The sequence below is a fragment of the Homo sapiens genome, chromosome 12, assembly GCF_000001405.40.
Source record: "Homo sapiens chromosome 12, GRCh38.p14 Primary Assembly".
Lineage (NCBI taxonomy): Eukaryota > Metazoa > Chordata > Mammalia > Primates > Hominidae > Homo > Homo sapiens.
The window spans coordinates 31389145-31415359 of NC_000012.12; the positions used below are offsets into that span (position 1 = coordinate 31389145).

At 42.8% G+C, this 26215-nt stretch overlaps 1 protein-coding gene and 1 pseudogene across 23 annotated transcripts in view, besides 2 other annotated features; one reads left to right on the forward strand and one right to left on the reverse strand.

Annotated features, from left to right (window-relative positions):
• DENND5B (DENN domain containing 5B) overlaps positions 1-26215 on the reverse strand; it is a 208911-nt gene that overhangs the window by 6919 nt on the left and 175777 nt on the right. For 20 of the 23 annotated variants that reach the window (XM_047428429.1, XM_047428424.1, XM_047428430.1 and 17 more), the window contains 8 exons: positions 24292-24420; positions 20119-20240; positions 13354-13499; positions 10510-10628; positions 9031-9218; positions 3470-3552; positions 3123-3249; positions 180-354 (listed from right to left, as the gene is read on the reverse strand). In XM_047428429.1, coding sequence (XP_047284385.1) covers positions 180-354; positions 3123-3249; positions 3470-3552; positions 9031-9218; positions 10510-10628; positions 13354-13499; positions 20119-20240; positions 24292-24420 — 1089 coding nt within the window. The remainder of the gene's footprint in view (positions 1-179; positions 355-3122; positions 3250-3469; positions 3553-9030; positions 9219-10509; positions 10629-13353; positions 13500-20118; positions 20241-24291; positions 24421-26215) is intronic. The other 3 variants (XM_047428421.1, XM_047428418.1, XM_047428416.1) reach the window with 1 other exon arrangement.
• Positions 7246-7357, forward strand: RNU6-618P (RNA, U6 small nuclear 618, pseudogene; annotated as a pseudogene).
• Positions 15967-16106: an enhancer, noted in NCBI's record as "active region_6164". NCBI's record gives its function as "activates an Ori minimal core promoter by ATAC-STARR-seq in GM12878 lymphoblastoid cells {active_cell/tissue: GM12878}" and the evidence as "EXISTENCE:reporter gene assay evidence [ECO:0000049][PMID:35858748]".
• Positions 16987-17156: an enhancer, noted in NCBI's record as "active region_6165". NCBI's record gives its function as "activates an Ori minimal core promoter by ATAC-STARR-seq in GM12878 lymphoblastoid cells {active_cell/tissue: GM12878}" and the evidence as "EXISTENCE:reporter gene assay evidence [ECO:0000049][PMID:35858748]".

Here is a 26215-nt window from a genome sequence, read left to right on the forward strand (position 1 = left end):
CAAGATTATGCCACGGTACTCCAGCCTAGGCGATGGAGTGAGACTCTGTTTCAAAAGAAAAAGTAAAAGGAAAGAAACCCAAAGGAGAGCTCTGGAAGGGGTATGATCTGGTATAACCTTTTCTGGACTCTAGTTCAACATGTGACAAAGATAGGGAAAATAAAAAACTGGTTTTGTACCTTGTTCCAAGGCAAACTAAAATCTGGAATTTGCCATCCTTCCCAATGTTCCTGGGTGCAGTATTAATAGCATTTACGTAGTGGCAGAAGGTTTTGCAGGATGATTTCTGAATAAGGACATCATCTTCATTATCTAGAATCTGGTCAGTTGTTTCAAAATAAGCAACCACTTTCTCTGAGGAAAAAAGTCAGAATTATGTCACAATATGTGTCAACACTTCATATATAGAAAGATTCATCACTTAATTTATTATGGAAACACTAACGATGCTTTGCATACAGTCAGTCCTGAAGCCAATATCATTACTTTATCATTGATTTTAGGGGTCGATGTTTCATGGTAGAACAATAAATATGCTCCCAGGAATTTATTTTCTAATTTAGACTGCATTCCAGAAGACTGGAAAGTTTACTCCCTTTAAAATACCTTCAGGAAACAGAAACTGGCAAAAAAGAAAACAAAAATAGCATCTTCTGTTAAGACTGGAACCTTCTAGGAGTAACCAGCAATGACACGGTAGCCATTGAAATAATACCCCATGTTCTAGTTACAGAATGACTTGCTAACACTTTGCAACAAGATCCTTGAAATGTACCTGAATAAGTACCTGACAAAGAGAGATATATGTATATACACATGAGAAGCAGAAGCAATAAGATTCTAGGCATTCCAGAAGAAAAAAAAAAAATCACTCCTGGGGGCCTATCTCTGACAACTTTCCTTTTTTTGTCTATTCTAAGTTAGATGAAATAAACTACTTCATCTAGGCCTTATTTAGAAAACACAAAATGATTAATTGCCCATTTAAAGAAACTAGGAATTCTAGAAGAGCTGCATACCAAAAGAAAGATCACAAAGCTTAGCAAGCTAGAACAGAAACACTCCAAAAGAGCTTCCTGTGATGATGAAAATGTTCTCTATCTACAAGGTCCAATTTGGTAGCCACAAGTGGCTCCTGAGCACTTGAAATGTGGCCAGTGTTATTAAGAAAATGAAATTTACATTTACATTTGATTTAAATTAAATAGATTTGGCCAGGCATGGTGGCTCACGCCTGTAATCCCAGCACTTTGGGAGGCCAAGGCGGGCAGATCACCTGAGTTCGGGAGTTCGAGACCAGCCTAGCCAGCATGGTGAAACCCCATCTCTACTAAAAATACAAAAATTAGCTGGGCGTGGTGGCAGGCACCTGTAATCCCAGCTACTCAGGCTGAGGCAGGAGAATTGCTTGAACCCAGGAGGCAGAGGCTGCGGTGACCCAAGATCACACCATTGTACTCCAGCCTGGGCAACAGAGCGAGACTCCATCTAAAACAAACAAAAAAAATTAAATAGATTTAAATTTTAAATGGCTATATGTGGCTAATGGTTACTATACTGGACAACACAGAGCTAGAGGAATCCTTTTACAAAAATTGGCCAGGCACAGTGGCTCACACCTGTAATCCCAGCACCTTGGGAGGCCAAGGCAAGTGGATCACTTGAGGACGGAATTTGGGACCAGCGTGGCCAACATGGCAAAACCCCATCTCTACTAAAAATACAAAAATTAGGGGTGTGGTGGCAGGTGTAATCCCAGCTAATCAGTGGCTGGGGCAGGAGAACCGCTTGAACCCAGGAGGCAGAGGTTGCAGTGAGCTGAGATGGGGCCACTGCACTCCAGCCTGGGCAGTAGAGTGAGTCTCTGTCTCAAACAAACAAACAAAAACGTTCTATCATGTCACTACTTAGCTCAAAACCTTCCAACAGCTTCCAGTTTCATTCAGGATAAAGGCTGAAATCATTCCAATGACCTAGAAGGCCCTACACAACCTGGCACTGGCACTAAACACCCCCTCCCCCAATCTCCTACTTTCTCTCTCTTGCTGTGCTCCAGTCACACTGGGCTTGGAGTTCCATGGAAACACTTCCGCCTTGGGGCTTAGCACTGGCAGTGCTGTCAACCTGGAGTCCCTCCTCCCAGATATCTACATGGCTCACTTCCTCACCTACATGAAGTCTGTGCTCCAATGTACCTTGACATTCAGCAGAATCTAAAACCACCCCATTTGAAAGACCACTCCCCACTTTATTTCCTTTTATACTGCTCTATTTCTTTCCAGATCAATGGTCACATTTCTGACATACCATATGAATTACATATTTGTTATGTTTTTGTGTATTGTTTGTTTCCCACACCGACCTGAGTATAAGTTTGTCAACCATAGGATTTCTGTTTTGTTTACTAATGTATATCTTGAGCAACTCAAATACTATTTGGAATATTGTGCATATTACAATTTGTTGAGTAAATGAAAAACAAAGACAATACTTGATATTTATTTATCATTATTATATACACTTTTTGAGACACGGTCTCACTCTGTCGCCCAGGCTGGAGTGCAGTAGCTTGATCATGGCTGACTGCAGCCTTCACCTCCTAGGCTCCTGGGCTCAAGCGATTCTCTTGCCTCAGCCTCCCAGGTAGCTGGGACCACAGGTATGTGCTACCACACCCAGCTAATTTAATATTTATTTTAAAATATATATATCCTTGCCGGGCACGATGGCTCACTCCTGTAATCCCAGCACTTTGGGAGGCTGAGGCGGGTGGATCACAAGGTCAGGAGTTCAAGACCAGCCTGGCCAATATGGTGAAACCCCTTCTCTATTAAAAATACAAAAATTAGTTGGGCATGGTGGTGCACACCTGTAGTCCCAGCTGCTTGGGAGGCTGAGGCAGGAGAATCATTTGAACCTGGGAGGCGGAGGTTACAGTGAGCCAAGACCGCACCACTGCACTCCAGCTTGGGCAACAGAGTAAGATTCCGTCTCAAAAAAAAAAAAAGAAAAAAAATATATATATCCTTATCACTAACCCTTATTCACTCAGATTCCTGGGTCTTTGAGTTCCTAAGAAAGGCTTCAGTGACCTTAATGTAATACACATCTACTTTATTTACCTATGAAGTCCCAGATGAAGACATTCTTGTGAAAGATGCGGGCAGATTTGAACCCATGGTGGAAAACTTGCTCAAGGGCTGCAACCAGGCCATTTTCTCCACACAGCAACACGGTGAGGCTTCCTCTCTGTGGGGCATAACACACAGTGCCAAAGAAAAATCTCCTGCATCTATGTCTAAAAAAAACACTAGAGAAGCAAGTGCTGAAGGTAGCTATATGAAGCATGTTTTTACAGCTACCAGAAAGCTTACAAATGAAAATTCAAGCACCCCATATTGCCTCGTGTATCACATATAAAAGCATCTTTAAAAGTCCCACTATACTAAGTTTTATAGCCCATAAATACCTCTTTTTCAGGTTTATGAAAATGTTTCACAATATTGTTCACAGCTTCTCCAATTCCTTCTTGTATCTGCCCAGCATTGGGTTCTGTAAAATAATAAACAGTGGCTGCATTCTCATGGGAGAGAAATAAACCAAAGTACTATGGGACATCAACTGTGTCCACCTAGGCAGGAAATACGTCATCAGAGCAGGCTGGCTTTGCCAGGGGCTCCATAGAACTTGCCTCTGGCCTGTTTGGCCAAGTGGGAAGCATCCTGGCAAAATGGAAAATAATCCAAGCGATCCCTAGATTCAAATCCCAGCATTACCATCTGCAATCTATAACCCTAGCCTAGTGTCTAACTTCCTCTGAGCTTTCAGTTTCCTCAACTGAAAATAGGAAAAATACACGCCTCACTGGGAAAACTGGTAAGTTATAGGAGTAAATAACTAGCATGGCGCCTGTCACAAAATGCTAGCAAGCCCCCAAATATGAGAAGCAAGGTTGAGAAGTCCCAACATCACTCCTCAAATGTTCCCTTATGCTACCCACCTACGAGCCTGTTAGTGAAATGTTCCCTTATGCTATCTACCTACGAGCCTGTTAGTGGAATGTTCCCTTATGCTACCTACCTACAAGCCTGTCAGTGGGCATAGATTAAGGCTTCAGGCGCTCTGGATAGTTAACCTGGAGTTTGAAGATTTGCTGTTGTGTTTAAAATAAGGGGAAGATGCCAGGTACCCTGTGGCATCTGGGCCTGAAGCCCAGAACTCCCTCCCTTCCTGGCTAGTCAATCTGTCTCAGCACTGCTTCCTTCTGCCAGCCAGTACTTGCTCTTCTAGGCCACTTTCCTGAGGGACAGGTTGGTGGGCTGCTTGAATGCGACCTAAATCACTTTTGTCCACCAAACCCAAGGAATGGTTTGTTTTTTTAAAAAGGTGGTAAACATTTCAGAAGTAGGTAACAACAGAAAAGGTATATAGTTCAGATTTTCTTGTAGTTCTAATTTACTTAACACACTATAAAGGAAAACCCATACATCCTCATGTTTAAGAATCTCTGAATTCATACTGCTCAAGGATTTCTTGCATGAACATTTCTTTTTTCTTTTTTGAGATGGAGTCTCGCTCTGTCTCCTAGGCTGGAGTGCAGTGGTGCAATGTCGGCTCACTGCACCCTCCGCCTCCCAGGTTCAAGCAATTCTCCTGCCTCAGCCTCCCGTGTAGCTGGGACTACAGGTGCCGGCCACCATGCATGGCTAATTTTTTTGTATTTTTAGTAGAAATAGGGTTTTACCATATTGGTCACGCTGGTCTCGAACTCCTGACCTCAGGTGATCCGCCCACCTCAGCCTCCCAAAGTGCTGGGATTACAGGCGTAAGCCACCATGCCCGGCTAACGTTTCTTTCAGTAAAATTCAAGTAGGTTTTTTCTACACTAATGCATAAAAATTGTTAAAATGAAAACCTCTTATAATTGAAGTACTGATACCATGGCCTCTTGTTCCTAGTGGTTTCTTTACCCAGTAGTTTTTGTTTGTTTTTTTTACCTTTACCTTTCTCTATTTTTTCTTTTAGACATGAAGTCTATTTTGAAAACTGTCACCCATTCCAAAAGAGCTTTGATCAGTATTATTATAAAACTGATTTTAAAAATTTTCAGTTCTCTGAATACCATTTTACATATAACATACTGTGAGAAAATACCGTTATCCATTTCTGAGTCTTGGGTCATTTAGACTTTTCTGCTTATAGCATGAGAAAAGAAAGTACGATTAAAAAAAAATGGGGGATAAAAGCCTCTCAGATAATACCCCCATGAAATTGGACTGACTCAGATGTTATAATAATTAGGATGGATTGAGCTGAAACCTACTTTTAAATTTTAAATCAGCATAATTAAAATTCACCATGTAATAAAAGTCACCAATTTTGATGAGCTTTGACAAATGGATAGTCATGTAACCACCACCACAATCATGATACAGAACATTTCCATCATCCCCAAAAGTTACCCTGTGCTCTTTTTTTTTTTTTTTTGAGACGGAGTCTCGCTCTGTCACCCAGGCTGGAGTGCAGTGGAGCGATCTCAGGTCACTGCAAGTTCCGCCTCCCGGGTTCACGCCATTCTCCTGCCTCAGCCTCCCGAGTAGCTGGGACTATTGACACCTGCCACCATGCCCGGCTAATTTTTTGTATTTTTAGTAGAGACGGGGTTTCACCATGTTAGCCAGGATGGTCTCGATCTGCTGACCTTGTGATCCGCCCGTCTTGGCCTCCCAAAGTGCTGTATTACAGGCGTGAGCCACCGTGCCCGGCCTATCCTGTGCTCTTTTCAGTTACCTTCCTTAGCTCCTAACTCCTGGCAACCAATGATCTACTTTCTATTATTATATTGCTTTTATAGAGATCTGATATATAAACAGATATATATCACTATCTGTTTATCCTTTCACCAGTTGATGTATATTGGGGTTGTTTCCATTTTTGGCTATTATGAATAAATCTCTCAAAATATCTGGGTACAAGTCTGTGTAGATATATGTATTCATTTCTTTTGTGTACATATCTAGGAGTAAGATTGCTGGGCCAAGCGTACGGTAAGTGTGCATGTATCTTTATAAATGCCAAGATGTTATTTTGTATTCCTACTAGCAATGCATGAGCTTTCTGTTACTCCACATCCTCACCAATATTTGTTGCTATAAGTGCTTTAAATTGGTTGGGCACAGTGGCTCACGCCTGCAATCCCAGCACTCTGGGAGGTCAAGGTGGGAGGATCACCTGAGGTCAGGAGTTCAACACCAGCCTGGCCAACATGGTGAAACCCCGTCTCTACCCAAAATACAAAATTAGCCTCACGTGGCAGTGCATGCCCGTAATCCCAGCTATTTGGGAGGCTGAGGCAGGAGAATCGCTTGAACCTGGGAAGCGGAGGTTGCAGTGAGATGAGACCGCACCACTGCACTCCAGCATGGCCAACAAGAGCGAAAACTCAGTCAAAACAAAACAAAACAAAACAAAAAAACAAAAAAACTGCACTCATAGTTAATACACAATCATGTGCTAGCAAATGGATAGAGACTAATAGAAGAATCTAGGGAAACTGCTTTGTTAATAAACTAAGGACCTATTAGGTACCTTTGTTATTCTACTTGTGGTTATAATCTATAGATAAAAAGCCCCTTCACTGATAAACTTCTGTGATTTTTCCCTAAATACCGCCTCTATATTCATGTTCTGTGGCTGCCTTCTGTGGCTGCTGTAATAGACTCACAAAACTTGGTGGCTTGAGTGACAGAAATACATTTTGTTGCAGGCCAGAAGTCAAAATTTAGTTATCACTGGGCCAAAAAAAAAAAAAAAAAAAAAGCAAGGTGTCAGCAGGGCTGTATTCCCTTGAAATTCTAGGGGAAAATCCCTTCCTTGCCTCTTTTAGCTTCTGGTGGCTGTTGGCATTCCTTGTTTTTTTTTTTTTTTTTTTTTTGAGACGGAGTCTCACTCTGTTGCCCAGGCTGTAGTGCATGTAGTGCAGTGGCACGATATTGGCTTACTGCAACCTCCACCTCTCAGGTTCAAGCAATTCTCCTGTCTCAGCCTCCCAAGTAGCTAGGATTACAGGTGCACACTACCATGCCCAGCTAATTTTTGTATTTTTAGTAGAGACGGGGTTTCGCCATGTTGGTCAGGCTGGTCTTGAACTCCTGACCTCAGGTGATCCACCCACCTCAGCATAATGCCTGGCCAGCATTTGTTGTTGTTGTTGTTGTTTTTTTTTTTTTTTTTAAAGACAGAGTCATGCTTGTTTCGGCAGCACATATACTAAAAAACTGGAACAATACAGAGAAGATTATTAGCATGGCCCCTGCACGAGGATGGCAAGCAAATTGGTGAAGCATTCCATATTTTTCTCAATACTTGAATGTGGAACATATGCACAGGGGAAGGAAATAACATTGCACTTTATAAACACTGTATTGTAAGTGGAAAATGCAATGTTTTAAATAAAACTATTTAAAATTGGCACCAAAAACCCCCCCAAAAAAGACAGAGTGTCACTCTGTCACTCAAGCTGGAATACAGTGGCATGAGCTCGGCTCACTGCAACCTCACCTCTACCTCCTGGGTTCAAGCAATCCTCATGCCTCAGCCTCCTGAGGAGCTGGGATTACAGGCATGCACCACATGCCTGGTTAATTTTTGTTTTTTTAGTAGAGACGGGGTTTTGCTATGTTGGCCAGGTTGGCCTCAAACTCCTGATCTCAAGTGATCTGCCCACTTCGGCCTCCCAAAGTGTTGGGAAAGAATACATATGATGGCATTTAGGGTCCACGTAGATGTGATCCAGGACAATCTCCTATTTCAAGATCCCTATCACATCTGCAAAAATCCTTTTTCCAAATAAGGCAATATTTACAGATTCTAGAGGTTAGAATTTTATATTTTTGGGAGACATTATTTAGTCTATTAAAGCCTACATTAGTAATTTAGTCTATTAAAGCCTACATTAGTATAAATTAGAAGTTTACTATATTACTAAAAATGACACATGAACATAGTATAATATTCATAAAATTCACTCCTTTATAGTATTTTGTTTCATCCTTACTATAGGAAGAAAGTTGGGACAGAAGGGGTAGAAGGAAATTTTAATCTCTTAGAATAAGAGACACTGGGGCGGGCGTGGTGGCTCATGCCTCTAATCCCAGCACTTTCAGAAGCTAAGGCGGGTGGATCTCAAGGTCAAGAGATTGAGACCAGCCTGGCCAACATGGGGAAACCTTGTCTCTACCAAAAATATAAAAAATTAGCCAGATGTGGTGGCGGGCACCTGTAATCCCAGCTACTTGGGAGGCTGAGGCAGGAGAATCGTTTGAACCCGGGAGGCGGGGGTTGCAGTGAGCTGAGATCGCACCACTGCACTCCAGCCTGGGTGACAGAGTGAGATTCCATCTCACAAAAAAAAAAAAAAAAAAAAAAAAGGCTAGATATGGCTATCTGGGAGTACTGTAATATATAACTATTATTATTTCTCTTTTAAGTTTCAGGCAAGGCCAGGTCTGGTGGCACACGCCTGTAATGCCAGCACTTTGGGAGGCTGAGGCAGGCAGATCGCTTGAGCTCAGAAGTTCAAGACCAGCCTGGGCAACATGGCGAAAGGCAGTCTATAAAAAATACAAAAATTAGCCAGGTGTGATGTTGTGTGCCTGTAGTCCCAGCTACTTGGAAAGCTGAGGTGGGAGGATCATTTGAACCCGGGAAGCAGAGGCTGCAGTGAGCTGAGACTGTGCCACTGCATTCTAGCCTGGGTAACAGAGTGAAACCTTGTCTCAAAAAATAAAAGTTTCAGGTAAAATATTTACTCATATTTCCACAGCTTAATAAAAACAGAGCATGCAAGTTTTTTAAAAAATTAGATTTTAACATCTAAACTCTTCCGGCTTTTGAATATTTATGAATTTTCCTCAACTTTCTTCTTTTTAAAATCTCCTCACTACATTCATTAACACAACTGTTTTCTATCAAATGGTCACATGAAGCCTACATCATAGGAGCACATAAGAAAAATTTAAATAAATTTACTGTTGTTTTTTCCTGTCAGTGAAGTGATGCTCAATCTCCTAGCCGTGGTGGGTGACTTCTGCTGGGGTGGAGTCCGACACTGCTTTACTAGATCTTCATCTGATGCTGATGTCATCAACTCTCCAATAAGAATTCTCTCCAGGCTCCCATCATCAATGCCTTTCCCCAGCCACCGCCCACATGGGAATCTGGTAGGACAGAAAACAAGTTTTTTATTTTTTATTTTTTTGAGACAGGGTTCCCGCTCAGCCCCCTGAGTAGTTGAGACTACAGGTGTGCACCACCACACCTGGCTAATTTTTGTGTTTTTTATAGAGAGGTCTCATTACATTGCCCAGGCTGGTCTTGAACTCTTGGCCTCAAGTGATCCCCCCATCTCAGTCTCTCAAAGTGTGTGGATTACAGGTGTGAGCCACTGCACCCGGTCAGAATATTTTCAAACTAGAAATTAATTTGGGAGTTCAGGCACAGAAGAAAAGAGGACAATGTTTCCATAGAGTAGTGTTGGCTGTGACTAGTGGAATCCAAGAGATCTTTTCCTCCCACTGAAATTATTTTAGGCTTCTTTTTTATTTTCTTTTTTTTCTGAGAGTTATATTAATCTTTCCAACACTTGTGGACTAAGCAATAGCAGCAAACATCTGTTGTTTTAAAAAGTTTTTTGAGGCTGGGCATGGTGGCTCATGCCTGTAATCCCAGCACTTTGGGAGGCCAAGGTGGGTGGAACACTTGAGGTTAGGAGTTTGAGACCAGCCTGGCCAACATAGCAAAACCCCATCTCTACTAAAAATACAGAAATTAGCCGGGCGTGGTGGCAGGTACCTGTAATCCCAGCTACTCGGGAGGCTGAAGCACGAGAACTGCTTGAACCTGGGAGGCAGAGGTTGCAGTGAGCCGAGATTGCGCCATTGCACTCCAGCCTGGGCAACAAGAGTGAAACTCTGTCTCAGCCCAAAAAAAAAAAAAAAAAAGAGAGAGAAAGAAAAAAAAAAGTTTTTTGGGGGGCAATTTTGTATGACATAAACAAAAAAAAAATTGCCCCCCTCACCTGGAAAAAAAAACCCTAAAATTCAGAAGGCAGTGGAAGAGTTCAAACAATTCTTTTTTTTTTTTTTTTTTTTTGAGATGGAGTTTCACCTTGTTGCCCAGGCTGGAGTGCAACGGTGCAATCTCGGTTCACTGAAATCTCCCCCTCCCGGGTTCAAGCGATTCTCCTGCCTCAGCCTCCCAAGTAGCTGGGATTACAAGCGTACACCACCATGCCCTGCTAATTTTTTTTTATTTAGTAGAGATGGGGTTTCACCATGTTGGTCAGGCTGGTCTCAAACTCCTGACCTCAGGTGATCCACCCGCCTTGGCCTCTCAAAGTGCTGGGATTATAGGTGTGAGCCACTGTGCCTGGCCTACAATTCTTAAACCTTTTCTTACCTGAAGAGTCTTAAAACAAAGAATTCTGAGTTCCCAAGGCCATTTACTTACCTGTATGTATGTCCTGTGATTTCATTTCTGACCATGACACAATCCACTAGCCATTTGGCTAACAGTCCTGAGTTATCGTGACCAATCTGAACAGTGGTCAGCTTCCCCAAGTTCTGGCACTGTAGGGACAGGACCTTAGGTTATTTAGTACCCAATCCCATCCTGTTACATCTCAGCTTTACAGGTACTTTGGTTCCGTCTAATTTAACAACTGCAGAGACAAACCCTGCATAATGTATTCAGCTATGCACTAGAGAAATATATTCACATATATTCCTTGCTCTCAGGGAGCTCCCACATAATGAGATAGGAGACATATGGACATTAACTACCAAATGAGGGGCACTGCACACAGTGCTAGATTAGAGATGTAAAAAGTGCTAGAAGAACGCTGGGGAAGGAACAGTTACTTCTACTTGGGGAACCCACAAACAACACAGACAGTGACTTGTGCCTTGAAGGGTAAGAATAATTTCTAAAAACAGGAAAAAGATGCTATTTAGATTTTGTTACAAAGAGGTCAAGAAAACAATTATAGATTTTAAAAATCACTGACACTGATATTCTTTTCTTTTTTAGAAAATTTTTTGTGGGTACACAGTAGGTATATATATTTATAGGGTACATGAGATGTTGATATTTTTCTGTTCCAATAAGATACTAAGGCAGAACTGACCTCAGACCTCATATACTAGAAGTCTTTGAAGCTATTTTTTAAAAGGCATAGTTATCAATAAGTTATCTTCACTGGTCCTTTGTGGACAAGTACAAAATAAAGCAATGATAATAGGAATAGCAAAAATGAATACTAATTAAATTCTGACTTCTAAAATCTGATAATGAAAAGATCACTGACCCCAACAATGTGCTGGATGACAACATCAGAATTGTAAGTTCTTTTTTTTGGTTAATTTTAATTTTTAATTTTTATGGGTACCTAGTAGATGTGTATATTTATGGATTAATTGAGATATTTTGATATAGGCATGCAATGCCTAATAACTGTATCAGGGTAAATGGGGTGTCTGTCACCTCAAACATTTATCATTTGTGTGACAATCCAATTATACTTTTAGTTATTTTAAAATGTACAGTTAAATTATTGTTGACTATAGTCACCCTGCTGTGCTAGCAAATACTAGGTCTTATTCACTCTATTTTTTTGTACCCATTAGAGCTACGAGTTTTTTTTTTTTGTTTTTTTTTTAGACAGAGTTTCGCTCTCGTTGCCCAGGCTGGAGTGCAATGGTGCAATCTCCGCTCACCACAACCTCCGCCTCCCGGATTCAAGCGATTCTCCTGCCTCAGCCTCCCGAGAAGCTGGGATTACAGGCATGTGCCACCATGCCCGGCTAATTTTTGTGTTTTTAGTAGAGAGGGGGTTTCTTCATTTTGGTCAGGCTGGCCTCAGACTCCCGACCTCAGGTGATCCGCCTGCCTCGGCCTCCCAAAGTGCTGGGATTACAGGCGTGAGCCACTGGCCCGGCCAGAGCTACGAGTTCTTAAAGCACTTTATTCTTTGTATCTCAGTGAGAAGGCATCACCATGCTCTAACTTAGGGATGATGGCATCTTGAATTAGTTGTGCAGCAGAGATGGAAAGAAGTAGGTAGACATGAGAGAGACAGCTTAGAAATGGCAATGATGGGGGTTTTAATGTACTTTCATTATTGTTAGATGAAGAAAAGCCAAGGGTTTTAATATTTTATATACAGGTGGCTTTGAGTCTACTGCATGGATAAGGCCAAACTGGGCTCCTGGGGGCGGGAGGGCATCATGACTCTAAGTGGAAACTGCTATTTCGAGACCCCAAGGAACATGAGAATGGGACATTCAGTTCGTACCATTTCCTTCCTCAAACACAACAATTATTTGTCCTCTTCCTCCACCAAGATCAACCTGTGTACAGGCTTAACCCCATGGAACTATTTCACCAAGTAAGACTGAAAATTGACTACAATATTAAAAGGTGGCTGTTTGTTTTGTTTTGTTTTTTGAGACACAGTCTCACTCTGTCACCCAGGCTGGAGTGCAGTGGCACAATCCTGGCTCACTGCAACCTCTGTCTCCTGGGCTCAAGTGACCTCAGCCTTGCAAGTACCCAGACTACAGGTGCATGCCACCATGCCCAGCTAATTTTTGTATTTTTTGTAGAGATGGAGTCTCACCATGTTGCCCAGGCTGGTCGTCTCAAACTCCTGGGCTCAAGCAATCTGCTCACCTTGGTCTCCCAAAGTGTTGAGATTATAGGCATGAGTCACTGCGCCTGGCCAAAAGGCATTTTTATAGAATCATTCTATAAATGTCACCATGTGGTCTAAAACCAGTAAGCAGATGCTTGAACCCAGGAGGTGGAGGTTGCAACGAGTGAAGATCACACCACTGCACAGCCTGGGCGAAAGAGCAAGATTCCGTCTCAAAAAAAAAAAAAAAAAAATCCATAAGCATGAATATCAGCTCTCCTGTCCTTTTGCCAAAGGATGACCAGGTTTGGGCAGAAAACATTTTACAGTAGGGAGGAGAACCACCGCGGGGAAAACATTTATTTGAATATTTCCTGCTTGCTAGAATCTGTGCTAGACCCTGAAAATAGTAGGAGAAGACCTAGAAAGCCCCAAAGCACATCATTACAAGTGAAAAATAGAGCTTAACAATGAAAATGCAAAACAAATTAGTATATAAGCTGCTTAAGACAACTTTAGACATATAATCACAAAAATGATCCTGCACGCTTTGAGTGTTCCTCTATTTTATTTGATTCAAGGAAAAATGAAAAAGCCAGACAGAATCATCTGTAAAACTACACGTGATACATTCTTCTAGGAAAGGTATTAGCTGAACCTACCTCAAAGGTCATTTCGAGGAGGTTTTTGGGAATCTGCATTACTCCTGTGTCTCCCAGCTCTCCTGATACACAGATCCAAGGGTTTGATGTGATTATTGCATTGCTCAGCTTTTTGATTGGGATGATCACTGACCTATACGGAATCACTGAAAGAAAAATGCAGAAATTAATTAAAAAGCGGGAATAAAATTCTCCTTATAACAAAACATATATTAAGAACTCTTGTTGGTTTTCATTGATAATTTGCTTTTTATGAGCTATCAAGATGTACTTATACGAAAAGTTGAGATCATAACCTTTCAGTCTAGAAAGATGAGATCTAGTTTGCAAACCAGAAGTCTCAATACTCGTAGCAGTGGTTTTCACAGCATGTATATCATCATGTATGTATGATGCATATATCAACATTAAACGTATGAACAATCTCAAGCATTAGCACGAGAATACCTAAAGATGTGAACACTGACTGTGTATATTGTGTTTTCATTGCTTAAATTTTCTTAAAAATTAATTTTGTAACAAAATTGAATAGAAATGAACATGATTACTGATATGGTTTTATATAAAAAGAGGGGTGGATGACTTCTTGGACAGTATTGAGTTTCTTGGGCAATGCTTTAAAGCACTGCATTTCAGAACTTTCCTGTCCCAAGTTTACAGAACAATATGCAAAAACCACAAATAATAAACAATGGAACCTCCACTCTGGACATATCGTGAAGTCTATAAACCACAACTTTGAAAGCTATTAAGGTGACTCACACGCAAGAGGAGCCCAGGGAGGCTCTTCCACAGACAGACCACTAGATGTCACTGCCCTATCACTGTCCTTTGCTCAAATGTGGAAGCACGAGAGGTTAGATGTTATGCATGTCCTCCCTTCTTTTTTTTTCTTTTTTTTTTTTGCCAACATGGCAAAACCCCGTCTCTACTAACAGTACAAAAATTAGCCGGGTGTGGTGGCAGGCGCCTGAAATCCCAGCTACTTGGGAAGCTCAGGCAGGAGAATCACTTGAACCCGGGAGGCAGAGGTTGCAGTGAGCTGAGATTGCACCACTGCATTCCAGCCTGGGCAACAGAGTGAGACTCTGCCTCAGAAAAAAAAAAGAAAGAAAAAAGAAAACGGCTGGATGTGGTGGCCTGTAATCCTAGCACTTTGGGAGGCCGAGGTGGGTGGATCACAAGGTCAGGAGCTTGAGACCAGGCTGACCAACACGGTGAAACCCCGTCTCTACTAAAAATACAAAAATTAGCCAGGTGTGGTGGCACACACCTGTAATCCCAGCTACTCAGGAGGCTGAGGCAGGAGAATCGCTTGAACCCGGGAGGCAGAGGTTGCAGCGAGCCGAGATTGTGCCATTGCACTCCAGCCTGGGCAACAGGAGTGAAACTCCATCTCCAAAAAAAAAAAAAAAAAAAAAAAAAAAGTGCAGACAGGGCCAGGCACGGGGGCTCATGTCTGTAATCCTACCTAGCACCTTGGAAGGCTGAGGTGGGCAGATCACTTGCGCTCAGGAGTTCATGACCAGCCTGGGCAACAAAGTGAGACCTTGTCTCTATACAAAATAAAAAACATAATTAGCCAGGTCTGGTGGTACACACTTGTAGTCCCAGCTACTCAGGAGGATGAGGAGGGGGGATCCCTTGAGCCAGGGAGGTCAAGGATGCAGTGAACTCTGATCCCACCACTGCACTCCAGCCTGGGCAACACAGCGAGACCCTATCTCAAAACAAAAAGGGGGCAGATGGTTTAAGCACATAAGCATTTTTGTCCATCACAGCCATACATTTCTGGTTTTTTGTTTGTTGGTTTTCTAGAGACAGGATGTAGCTCTGTCGCCCAGTCTGAAGTGCAGCAGCCCAATCAGTGTTCACTGCAGCCCTGATCTCTGGGGCTCAAGCAATCCTCCCATCTCAGCCTCCCCAGCAGTTGGGACTACAGGTGCACGCTACCACACCTGGCTAACTTTATTTATTTAGAGTTTCACTCTTGTCGCTCAGGCTGGAGTGTAGTGGCACATTCTTGGCTCACTGCAACCTCTGCCTCCTGGATTCAAGTGATTCTCCAGCCTCGGCCTCCCAAGTAGCTGGGATTACAGGCGTCTGCCACCTCGCCCAGCTAATTTTTGTACTTTTAGTAGAGAAGGGGTTTTGACATATTGGCCAGGCTGGTCTCGAACTCCTGAACTCAGGTGATCCACCGGCCTCAACCTCCCAAAGTGTTGGGATTCCAGGCATAAGCCACCGCGTCCGACCTCTAGCTTTTTTTTTTTTTTTTTGAGACAGAGTTTTGCTCTTGTGGCCCAGGCTGGAGTGCAATGGCATGATCTCGGCTCACTGCAACCTCTGCCTCCCGGGCTCAAGCGATTCTCCTGCCTCAGCCTCCTGAGTAGCTGGGATTACAACTGCACACCACCACGGCCAGCTATTTTTTGTATTTTTAGTAGAGATGCGGTTTCACCATGTTGACCAGGATGGTCTCGAACTCCTGACCTCAGGTGATCTGCTCACCTCGGCCTCCCAAAGTGCTGGGATTACAGGCATGAGCCACCGTGCCCGGCCCCTAGCTAACTTTTTAATTGTTCTTTTGTTGAGACAGCATGTCACTATTTTGCCCAGGCTAGTCTTGAACTGGACTCAAGCGATCTTTTTGCCTTGGCCTCTCAAAGTGCTGGAACTCCAGGCATGAGCCACTGCACCTGGCCTGATTGTAAAATTTTAAAGTTTTTTTTTTTTGAGACACGGTCTCGCTCTGTCACCCAGGGTAGAGTGCAGTGGCACGATCTCAAGCTTACTGCAATCTCCACCTCCTGGGCTCAAGTGATCCTCCCACCTCGGCCTCCCCAGTAGCTGGGACCAGAGGTGTGCACCACTACGCCCAGCTATTTTTTTGTAGTTTTAGTAGAGGCAGGGTTTTGCCATGTTGCCCAGGCTGGTCTCAAACTCCTAAGCTCAAGAGATCTGCCTGCCTTGGCCTCCCAAAGTGTTAAGACTACCGGCATGAGCCACCTGCCATGTATGTATGTATGTATGTATGTATGTATGTATGTATGTATGTATGTATTTTTGAGGCAGAGTTTCACTCTATCTCCCAGGCTGGAGTGCAGTGGTGCAATCTCAGCTCACTGCAACCTCTGCCGCCCGGGTTCAAGTGATTCTCCTGCCTTAGCCTCCCAAGTAGTTGGGATTACGGGGGCTTGCCACCGTGCCCAGCTAATTTTTGTACTTTTAGCAGAGACGGGGTTTTATCATCTTGGCCAGGCTGGTCTTGAACTCCTGACCACGTGATTCACCCACCAAGGCCTCCCAAAGTGCTGGGATTACAGGTGTGAGCCATCGCACCTGGCCACTATTTATTTATTTTTTGAGAAGAAGTCTTGTTCTGATGCCCAGGCTCGAGTGCAGTGGGGCGATTTCAGCTCACTGCAACCTCCGCCTCCCGGGTTCAAGCGATTCTCCTACCTCAGTCTCTGGAGTAGCTGGGATTACAGGTGTGCGCCCACCATGCCCAGCTAATTTTTGTACTTTTAGTAGAGACAGGGTTTCCCCATGTTGGCCAGGCTGGTCTTGACCTCCTGACCTCAGGTGATCCGCCACCTCGGCCTCCAAAAGTGCTAGGATTACAGGTGTGAGCCACCATGCCCAGCCATTTTTTTTTTTAAGTAGGGTAGAATCAATATTTGTTGTTATCCTTGGGATTTCTGCCCATTTGATCATAAGAGGGGGTGTTAGAAGCCCTCCGTGAAAGATCTACAAGTAGGATGAAAAACATTTACTAAAGAAGGTGCCTAGATATAGCCTCACAATATGAGCTCATGGTTCAGTGCACTCTTAGATGAGGAAAACAAATGAGATAAATGGTTCATTTCCCTAATTTTACATAAAAGACTTTCTTTATGTTAGGTGAAGAGTCTCCCTTTGTGTCCTTTTATTTTGGCTTTAGGATAGGAAAATGTCAGAGAAAAGGCCATATATTCACGGTTTAGTAATCATCAGAATCAAATGGGTTTTGAAACTGAAAGCAGAAGAGGTTAGTGTTAAGACTTTATTTTAGGTGCCAGAGGCTTTTCTCATTTCTTGCACTGCTAAGAAAATCTGCAGAAAAAGGCATGTTTAGGGTCAGCAGTTCTGTGGCTGCAAAAGGCCCACAGATGCACAACAGTGATTTCATAGTTTAAGTATGAAAAAGCAATATGATTAAATTTAAAAATTTCTTTCATGAAGAATTCCTCAAATTGAAAGAGTTACTCAGATGAAGAGAAATCTACAGATATAAGGAGGATTTTAGGAATCCTCTACTGCTACTACTTCTTACTTATTTAGAGACAGTCTCAACCTGTCACCCAGGCTGGAGGGCAGTGGTGTGATCTTGGCTCACTGCAACCTCTGCCTCCCGGGTTCAAGTGATTCTCCCACATCAGCCTCCTGAGTAGGTGGGACTAAAGCAAGCGCCACCACGTCCGGCTAATTTTTGTATTTTTTGGTAGAGATGAGGTTTCACCATGTTGGCCACGTCAGTCTCGAACTCCTGACCTCATGTGATCCACCCGCCTTGGCCTCCCAAGGTGCTGGCATTACAGGTGTGAGCCACTGTGCCTGGCCTCTTCGATTTAATTAAATTAATTAATTAATTTATTTATTTATTTATTTTGAGACGGAGTCTCGCTCTGTCGCCCAGGCTGGAGTGCAGTGGCGCAATCTCGGCTGACTGCAACCTCCGCCTCCCGGGTTCAAGCAATTCTCCTACCTCAGCCTCCTGAGTAGCTGGGATTACAGGCGCCCACCACCACACCCAGCTAATTTTTGTATTTTTAGTAGAGACGGGGTTTCACCATGTTGGTCAGGCTGGTCTCTAACCCCTGCCCTTGTGATCCAACTGCCTTGGCCTCCCAAAGCGCTGGGATTACAGGCTTGAGCCACCGCGCCCGGCCCAATTTTAAAACTGTATATAACTTTTTAGTTTCTTACACCTGCAGTAACCTAATCAACGAATAGTAACTTGACAGGCATTACAGGATGGCCTAATCCCCATTCCAATTCCCTTTTCCTTTGTCTTCCGTTACCAGAGACTGGAAAGCCAAAACCTACACAATTCTGGCCAGTGAAATGTTAGTGATATTTATTGAGATTTTTTGGAAAATTATGTCTTTCTAGCACAGATCCTGCCCCTCCTTGGCACTCTCTCCTTCCTGCTGGAAGGTATGCTGAGAACAGCCATGTTGAAACCATGAGGTAACTAGCACACACAGAGCATGTCTAACAGGAAAAAGACAATGAGCCTGGGTCCGTGACAGCACTGCCCACTGCCTACTTTGAGACCTTTATTATGTAAGTGAAATTACTATGCTGTAAACCACTGGTTTTCAAGTTTCTGATACTTGCAGCTAAATGCAATTCCTAATTGATACAAGTAAAAATTCTCCAAAGTAAGGAAGAGGACCCACTGCAAATAAGAATTAGCAATGAAGGAAAGAATAAATGCTATCATTCGGCTTTCTATAAAAAATACATCTCTTGGACAGGCTCAGTGGCTCACACCTGTAATCCTAGCACATTGGGAGGTTGAGGCGGATGGATCACCTGAGGTCAGGAGTTTGAGACCAGCCTGGCCAACATGGTGAAACCCTGTCTCCACTAAAAACACAAAAATTAGCCGGGCATGGTGACATATGCCTATATACAGATGTGTGATTTGGGAGGCTAAGGCAGGAGAATCGCTTGATCCCAGGGGACGGAGGTTGCAGTGAGCTGAGATTCCACCACTGCACTCCAGCCTAGGTGACAGAGCCAGACACCATCTCAAAAAAACCAAAAACAATAACAACAACAAAAACAACAAAATCTCCAGGTCCAGCGTGGTGGCTCATGCCTGTAATCCCAGCACTTTGGGAGGCTGAGGCAGGTGGGTCACTTGAGGTCAGGAGTTCGAGACCAGCCTGGCCAACATGGTGAAACCCCATCTCTACTAAAAATACAAAAATTAGCCGGGTGTGGTGGGGCGTGCCTGTAATTCCAGCTACTCAGGAGGCTGAGGCACAAGAATTCCTTGAACCCAGGAGGTGGAGGCTGCGGTGAGCTGAGATCGTGCCACTGCACTCCAGCCTGGGTGATGGAGTGAGACTCTATCAAAAAAAAAAAAAAAAAAAAAAAAAAATTCTCCAATCAGCATTTCCTTCCAAAGTTGAATGATGTCCAATTGCATAAGTTTATTATTAACACACAGATACTTTGATTTTATGTGTTTTCGTTAAGATATTGAAATATTTACTTAATAAAACATTCCTTTTCTCATCTATTGTAGGTAACATTTCCTATCAAAGACTGGGTTTCTTGGGAAGAAATCTCTGAGTCAGAAATTAGCATGGACAATGCTGCTCCTGGGACCAACATGTGAGAAGGAAAGCAGGATTGGTTAAGCAAGATGTTAAGCTTCGATGCAGTCTCAATGAAATCCTCATCTATCTAACCCCCATGGTGAGCTCCGGGACAGCCCTTTGTTCAGTCATGGGATGCTGGCTGGAACTGACAGAAGGTATCATCTCCAGTGAGGTACTTTTCTTCAGTAAGGCGTTCTCTAAAGCCTGACAGCCAAGGGTTTCCTGTAGCACTCTTAGCATTTGGGGAATATCCTTTACTCCTAAACAGAGACCTGGGCGTATGTCACAATGTCACATGTACTATGGCATATCTTGCTTTAAAAAATATAAATGCTTTTATTGCATTGGTCACCTCAGTAACCCTTAACGGTCAATTCTCTAGACTTACTGATAGTGGTGAACACACTGGTGAAGCAGAAATAGTCCACAGCATTGAGAGAAAGAAGGTGGTAAAGAAACTGCTCTCTTTCTTCTTCGCAACGTAGAAAAGCATATCGCTTATAAAGCTTCCTAGGAAAGGGTAAGACAAGCACAAGACAGTAGTATCAAAGAAAAAAAAAAAAAACCAAGACAGTAGTATCATGTACTTTTCATTATGTCTTTTTTTTTTTTTTTTTTTTTTAAACAGAGTTTCTCTCTTGTTGCCCAGGCTGGAGTGCAATGGTGCAATCTCAGCTCACTGCAAACTCTGCCTCCTGGGTTCAAGTGATTCTCCTGCCTCAGCCTCATGAGTAGCTGGGATTACAGGCATGTGCCACCACGCCAGGCTAATTTTTGTATTTTTAGTAGGGATGGGGTTTCACCATGTTGGCCAGGCTGGTCTCCAACTCCTGACCTCAGGTGATCCATCTGCCTCGGCCTCCCAAAGTGCTGGGATTACAGGCATGAGCCACCATGCCCGGCCATTTTTTTTCTTTTGTTTCTTTCCCATTATGTCTTTTTTCCAGGATGGGGTCTCGCTATATTGCCCAGGCTGGTCTTGAACTCTTGGACTCAAGAAATCCTCCTGCCTCAGTCTCCCAAAATGTTGGGATTATAGGCATGAGCCACTGGGGCTGGCCCTCATTAAGCCTTGACTAAAAATAAATAGCTCCTCTTAGACAAACACCTTTAATCTTGAAAAAATAGATTCATTCTATTTCAATTCATAAAAATGGATATATAAACAGTTAATAAAACACTTTTAACCTAATAATTAAGGAAAAAATGCATCTATTTTATCTATCAAACTAATAAAGACTTAAAAGTGATGACCAGTGTTGACAAGGAAGAAATGAATGCCATTCTCACAGTTGGTGAGACTGAAAATTTCAGGAAAGCAATTCAGGTAACAATTACTTTAAACCAATCATACCCCTTGACTCATCAATTTTACTTTTAGGATTCAGTCCTAAAGAAACAGATGAAATGGGGCAAAGATTTCATTAAACACTTACATTTAAGCACTTTCCCAAGTGTTTTATAGGTATTAATACATTTAATTCTCACTCTATGAGGTAAGTCTATTAGTGCCTTTTTATTATTTATTTATTTATTTATTTTTCTTGAGATGAGGTCTCGTTCTATAACCCAGGTTGCTGGAGTGCAGCGATGCAGTAACAGCTCGCTGCAGCCTTGACCTCCTGGGCTTGAGTGTGCCTCCCACCTCAGCCTCCCAAGCTGCTGGGACCACAGGTGCACGCTACCACACTCAACTAATTTTTTATTTTTAGTAGAGATGGGGTCTCACTATATTGCCCAGGCTGGTCTTGAACTCCCAGGCTCAAGCAATCCTCCCACTTTGGCCTCTCAAAGTGCTGGGATTACAGGAGTGAGCCACCACACCCAGCCTAGTGTCATTTTACAGATGGGGAAAAGAGAGATACAGGAAAGTTAAATATTTTGTCCGAGGTCATTCAAACACTAACTAGAGAAGGCAATATTTGAACACAAGCATTCAGACTTCAGATTTTAAACTCTTCTGATACGGTGAAATGTTTATGGTACACTGTTAAGCTAATAAAAAGGATGATATTGAATCGCACATATAGTGTATCTTAATAAGAGAACATGCATAGAAGAAAAGTACAGAAGAAAATGTGAAATACTTAGTGTTCTTTATATAGCAGGATTGTAAGTGATTATCATTTTCCTCTTTGTACTTTGGCCACTATGAGCATAAATCACTTTTTTTTTTTTTTTTTGAGACAGTTTTGCTCTTATTGCCCAGGCTAGAGTGCAATGGCACGATCTTGGCTCACCGCAACCTCTCGTCTCCCAGGCTCAAGCGATTCTCCTGCCTCAGCCTCCAAGTAGCTGGGATTACAGGCATGTGCCACCACGCCTGGCTAATTTTGTATTTTTAGTAGAGATGGGGTTTCTCTACGTTGGTCAGGCTAGTCTCGAACTCCTGATCTCTGGTGATCCACCCGCCTCGGCCTCCCAAACTGTAGGATTACAGCCATGAGCCAACACGCCCGGCCTTTTTTTTTTTTTTTTTTTTTTTGAGACAGAGTCTCGCTTTGTTACCAGGCTGGATGGAGTGCAGTGGCGCGATCTCGGCTCACTGCAACTTCCGCCTCCTGGGTTCAAGTGATTCTCCTGCCTCTGCCTCCCAAGTAGCTGGGATTATAGGCATGCGCCACGACACCCAGCTAATTTTTGTATTTTTAGTAGAGACGGGGTTTCACCATGTTAGCCAGGATGGTCTCGATCTCCTGACCTCATGATCTGCCTGCCTCGGCCTCCCAAAGTGCTGGGATTACAGGTGTGAGCCACTGCGCCCAGCCAATAACTTTTTGTAATTGGAAAAAAAAACCACGCCAGTTTTAAGAAAACAAGGTCAGATTCACAGGCTATATGCAACACTTCATGCTTTATCAAACCTACTGTTTGGACATTAAAACTCATCTGAAAATGCTCCAGGGGGTATGTAATCCAAGTGTGATATATACAAATACAAAACTACAAAAAGCACTGGAACTCTAATAGGCTATCTTGTTTGAGGTCTTTGTTGAATTCTCTGCCTAACTTTGCTCCTTAGAAGTCAAAGTCCTTAGCCTTCAAATTAGCACTAATGTAAATATAAGGGCAATATATTTCATCCAAGACAGCTTCTTTTTTTTGTTTTTGTTTTTTGAGACAGGGTCTCGCTCTGTTGCCCAAGCTGGAGTGCAGTGGCCCAATACTGGCTCAAATGATTCTCCTGATTCAGCCTCCAAGTAGCTGGGATTACAGGTGCCTGCCACCATGCCCGGTTAATTTTTTTATTTTTTGTAGAGACAGGGTTGTGCCATGTTGGCCAGGCTGGTCTCGAACTCCTGACCTCAAGTGATCTGCCCACCTTGGCCTCCCAAAGTGTTGGGATTACAGGTGTGAGCCACTGCACCTGACCTCGAAGAGGGTTTCTTGATAGAGTAAACAGAAGAAATTAAAAGTTAACAATTAATTGACATGTACTTGACTGGTTTCCCGGCTCTAAACCAGTGGTTCCCAACCTTTTTGGCGCCAGGGACCTGTTTCATGGAAGATAATGTTCCCATGGCTGTCGCAGGGGCTGGGGAGGGGGAGGTGGATTCAGAATAAAATTGTTGCACCTCATATCATCAGTCATTAGAGTCTCATAAGGAGCACATAACCTAGATCCCTCACATGCGCAGTTCACAATAGGGTTTATGCTCCTTTGAGAATCTAATGCTGCTGATCTGACAGGAGGCGGAGCTTAGGCGGTAATGCTTGCTTGCCCTCGGCTCATCTCCTGCTGTGCAGCCCTGGTTCCTAACAGACCACAGACCAGTACTGGTCCATGGCCCAAGGGCTGGGAACCCTTGCCCTAAACTAGTGAATGCAAGGCTCTCAGAAGAAGCCCTTTACTGGGACCTCCTCACAGAACTTTATTATTTCTTTCTTTTTTTACTCCAGGTTTTATCTGTATACAACCTGTATACAGGTTTTACAATATAAGGTTTATACAAAATAATATAAGGTTTATATAAATTCATCCGATCTTTTGGATGTTACTGTCAGCTTGTGTGAACTAGCCAGCTTTTTGCCTGATTCTGGCAGAGCAATCCGGCCTTTTTTTTTTGAGATGGTCTTGCACTGTCGCCCAGACTGGAGCGCAGTGACATGATCTCAGCTCACTGCAACCTCCACCTCCCAAGTTCAAGTGATTCTCCTGCCTCAGCCTCCTGAATAGCCATGACTACAGGTGTGCGGCACCATGCCCTGCTAACTTATTTTTTGTAGAGACGGGGTTTCACCATGTTACCCAGGCTGGTCTTGAATTCCTGGACTCAAGTGATCCTCCCACCTTGGCCTCCCAAAATGTTAGGATTACAGGCAATGGCCACCATGCCCAACTGCAATCTGGCCTTTGGCTGTTAAATTTGGTGTGTCCCCCCAAAACGATCAAGTATTACATCAAAACAGTTTTCAAAGCACACGCCTGTTAGATAAAGAAGAATGCATGTGCACAGGATACAGCACTTCATACTGAAGAAGCCAGTTTGTCAGTTTATGCAACTTGTTTTGTATGCACATGGATTATAGAAACAGAAATGTATCAAAGATGGTATCTTACTTGGTGAGTGGTTGGTTAGAAAGCAACTGCTTAAGATGCTGGGACAAGAGCTTCTTTTCTAGAGACAGTCTTATCCACGCCCGAGCTCGTCCAACATCAGTCTTGATCTCACTCATGTTTTGAATATGCCTAAAGAATAGTGGCAACAGCAAAGATGTAGATTTTAAGGATAACCCTGACTAGAAAAGAAGTAAAGAGTGAACAGTACTGGGCACAGAAAGGTTTATACTTAAAGGGAGCAATGGATAATATACAATTGATGTTGATTAAATCTTTGAAGGTTCCATCTGAATCATGAAGTTAGTCTCACATCATAATTGCCATTACAACACAAGCACACGGACAATGTGGTAAGATAAAGCATTTAACACTTATTCACTCTTTCAGGCTTTATTATGTCCTTGTGGCAGACTCATAGATATCTGTAAATAAGAATTTGGTTATTCCTGATGCTCCAAAAAAAGTAATGAAACAGGGTGAATACTCAAGTTTCTTTTCAAAATAACTGTTCTATAGCATAATTAAATATCAGTCACAACTTTAATCCACTGAATTACTTTTCAAGTTGCACTGGACAACATATGGAAAATATGAAATCTTACTTTCTATGGCATTAGAGAAAATAAGCCAGACTGCATTGATAATCTTTAATTGTTTAATTATTTTAAATATTTTAAAATACAGGGTCTTGCTATGTTGCCCAGGCTGGTCTCAATCTCTTGGTCTCAAATGATCCTCTTCCCTCAGCCTCCCAAAGTGCATGACCCACTGCACTTGGATCTTATGACACTGCTTTAAACCCATACATTGTAAGAGTTGACTAAGTATTGTACCTAAAATATTTAAAAGATAAAAGCCTCTGCCTTCCTCATTCAATAAATCTGTGTTAGATATCTTGAAGTCTTCTAAAGATTTCTTAACAGTAATTCCAAGTGATGATTCTCAGATATGTATTTGCTTCAAACTAAATCTACCTGATTGCAATTGTTCTGCCACATATCCTGCCATTATTTGCAGAATTTTTCTTCTGTACCTTCTTCGGTGGGCAGAGGTGTTTAAGGGAGTTTTAAAAACTGAACAAAAGAAGCTATAAAATAGTTTAGGACGGGCACAATGGCTCACGTCTGTAATCCCAGCCCTTTGGGAGGCCGAGGCGGGAGAATCACTTGAGCCCAGGAGTTTGAGGCCAGCCTGGGCAATTTAAGACCCCATCTCGGCCGGGCACAGTGGCTCGCGCCTGTAATCCCAGCACTTTGGACGGCTGAGGCAGGTGGATCATGAGGTCAGATCGAGACCATCCTGGCTAACATGGTAAAACCCTGTCGCTACTAAAAATACAAAAAATTCGCCAGGAATGGTGGCGCATGCCTGTGCTACTCAGGAGGCTGAGGCAGAAGAATTGCTTGAACCCGGGAGACAGAGGTTGCAGTGAGCTGAGATCACGACACTGCACTCCAGCCTGGGCAACAGAATGAGACGCCATCTCAAAAAAAAAAAAAAAGCCCCTGTCTCTACTAAAAATCAAAAAAATTAGCTGGGTATGGTGGCAGGTGCCTGTAATTCTAGCGACTTGGGAGGCTGAGGCAGAAGGATTGCTTGAGCCTGGGAAGTTGAGGCTGCAGGGAGTGGTGATTGCACCACCGAATTCCAGCCTGGGTGACAAAGCAAGACCCTGTCGCAAAAGTAAAATAAAATAAAAAAATTTAGAGATGCTTTAAAACTCTTCTCAGCTGCATCTTCCATTTGGATTTAATGTCAGGAAACACTACAATGGTATAAAAATAAGATAAATGAAATCATAAAAAATGCTTTCTTCAGAATACATAAGCCAAAAATAAACACAGCCATAATCATTTGAGCAATTTAGTTAAAAGCCACAAAATACTTCAAAGTTATCACCACATGCTAACACATGTATTAATAA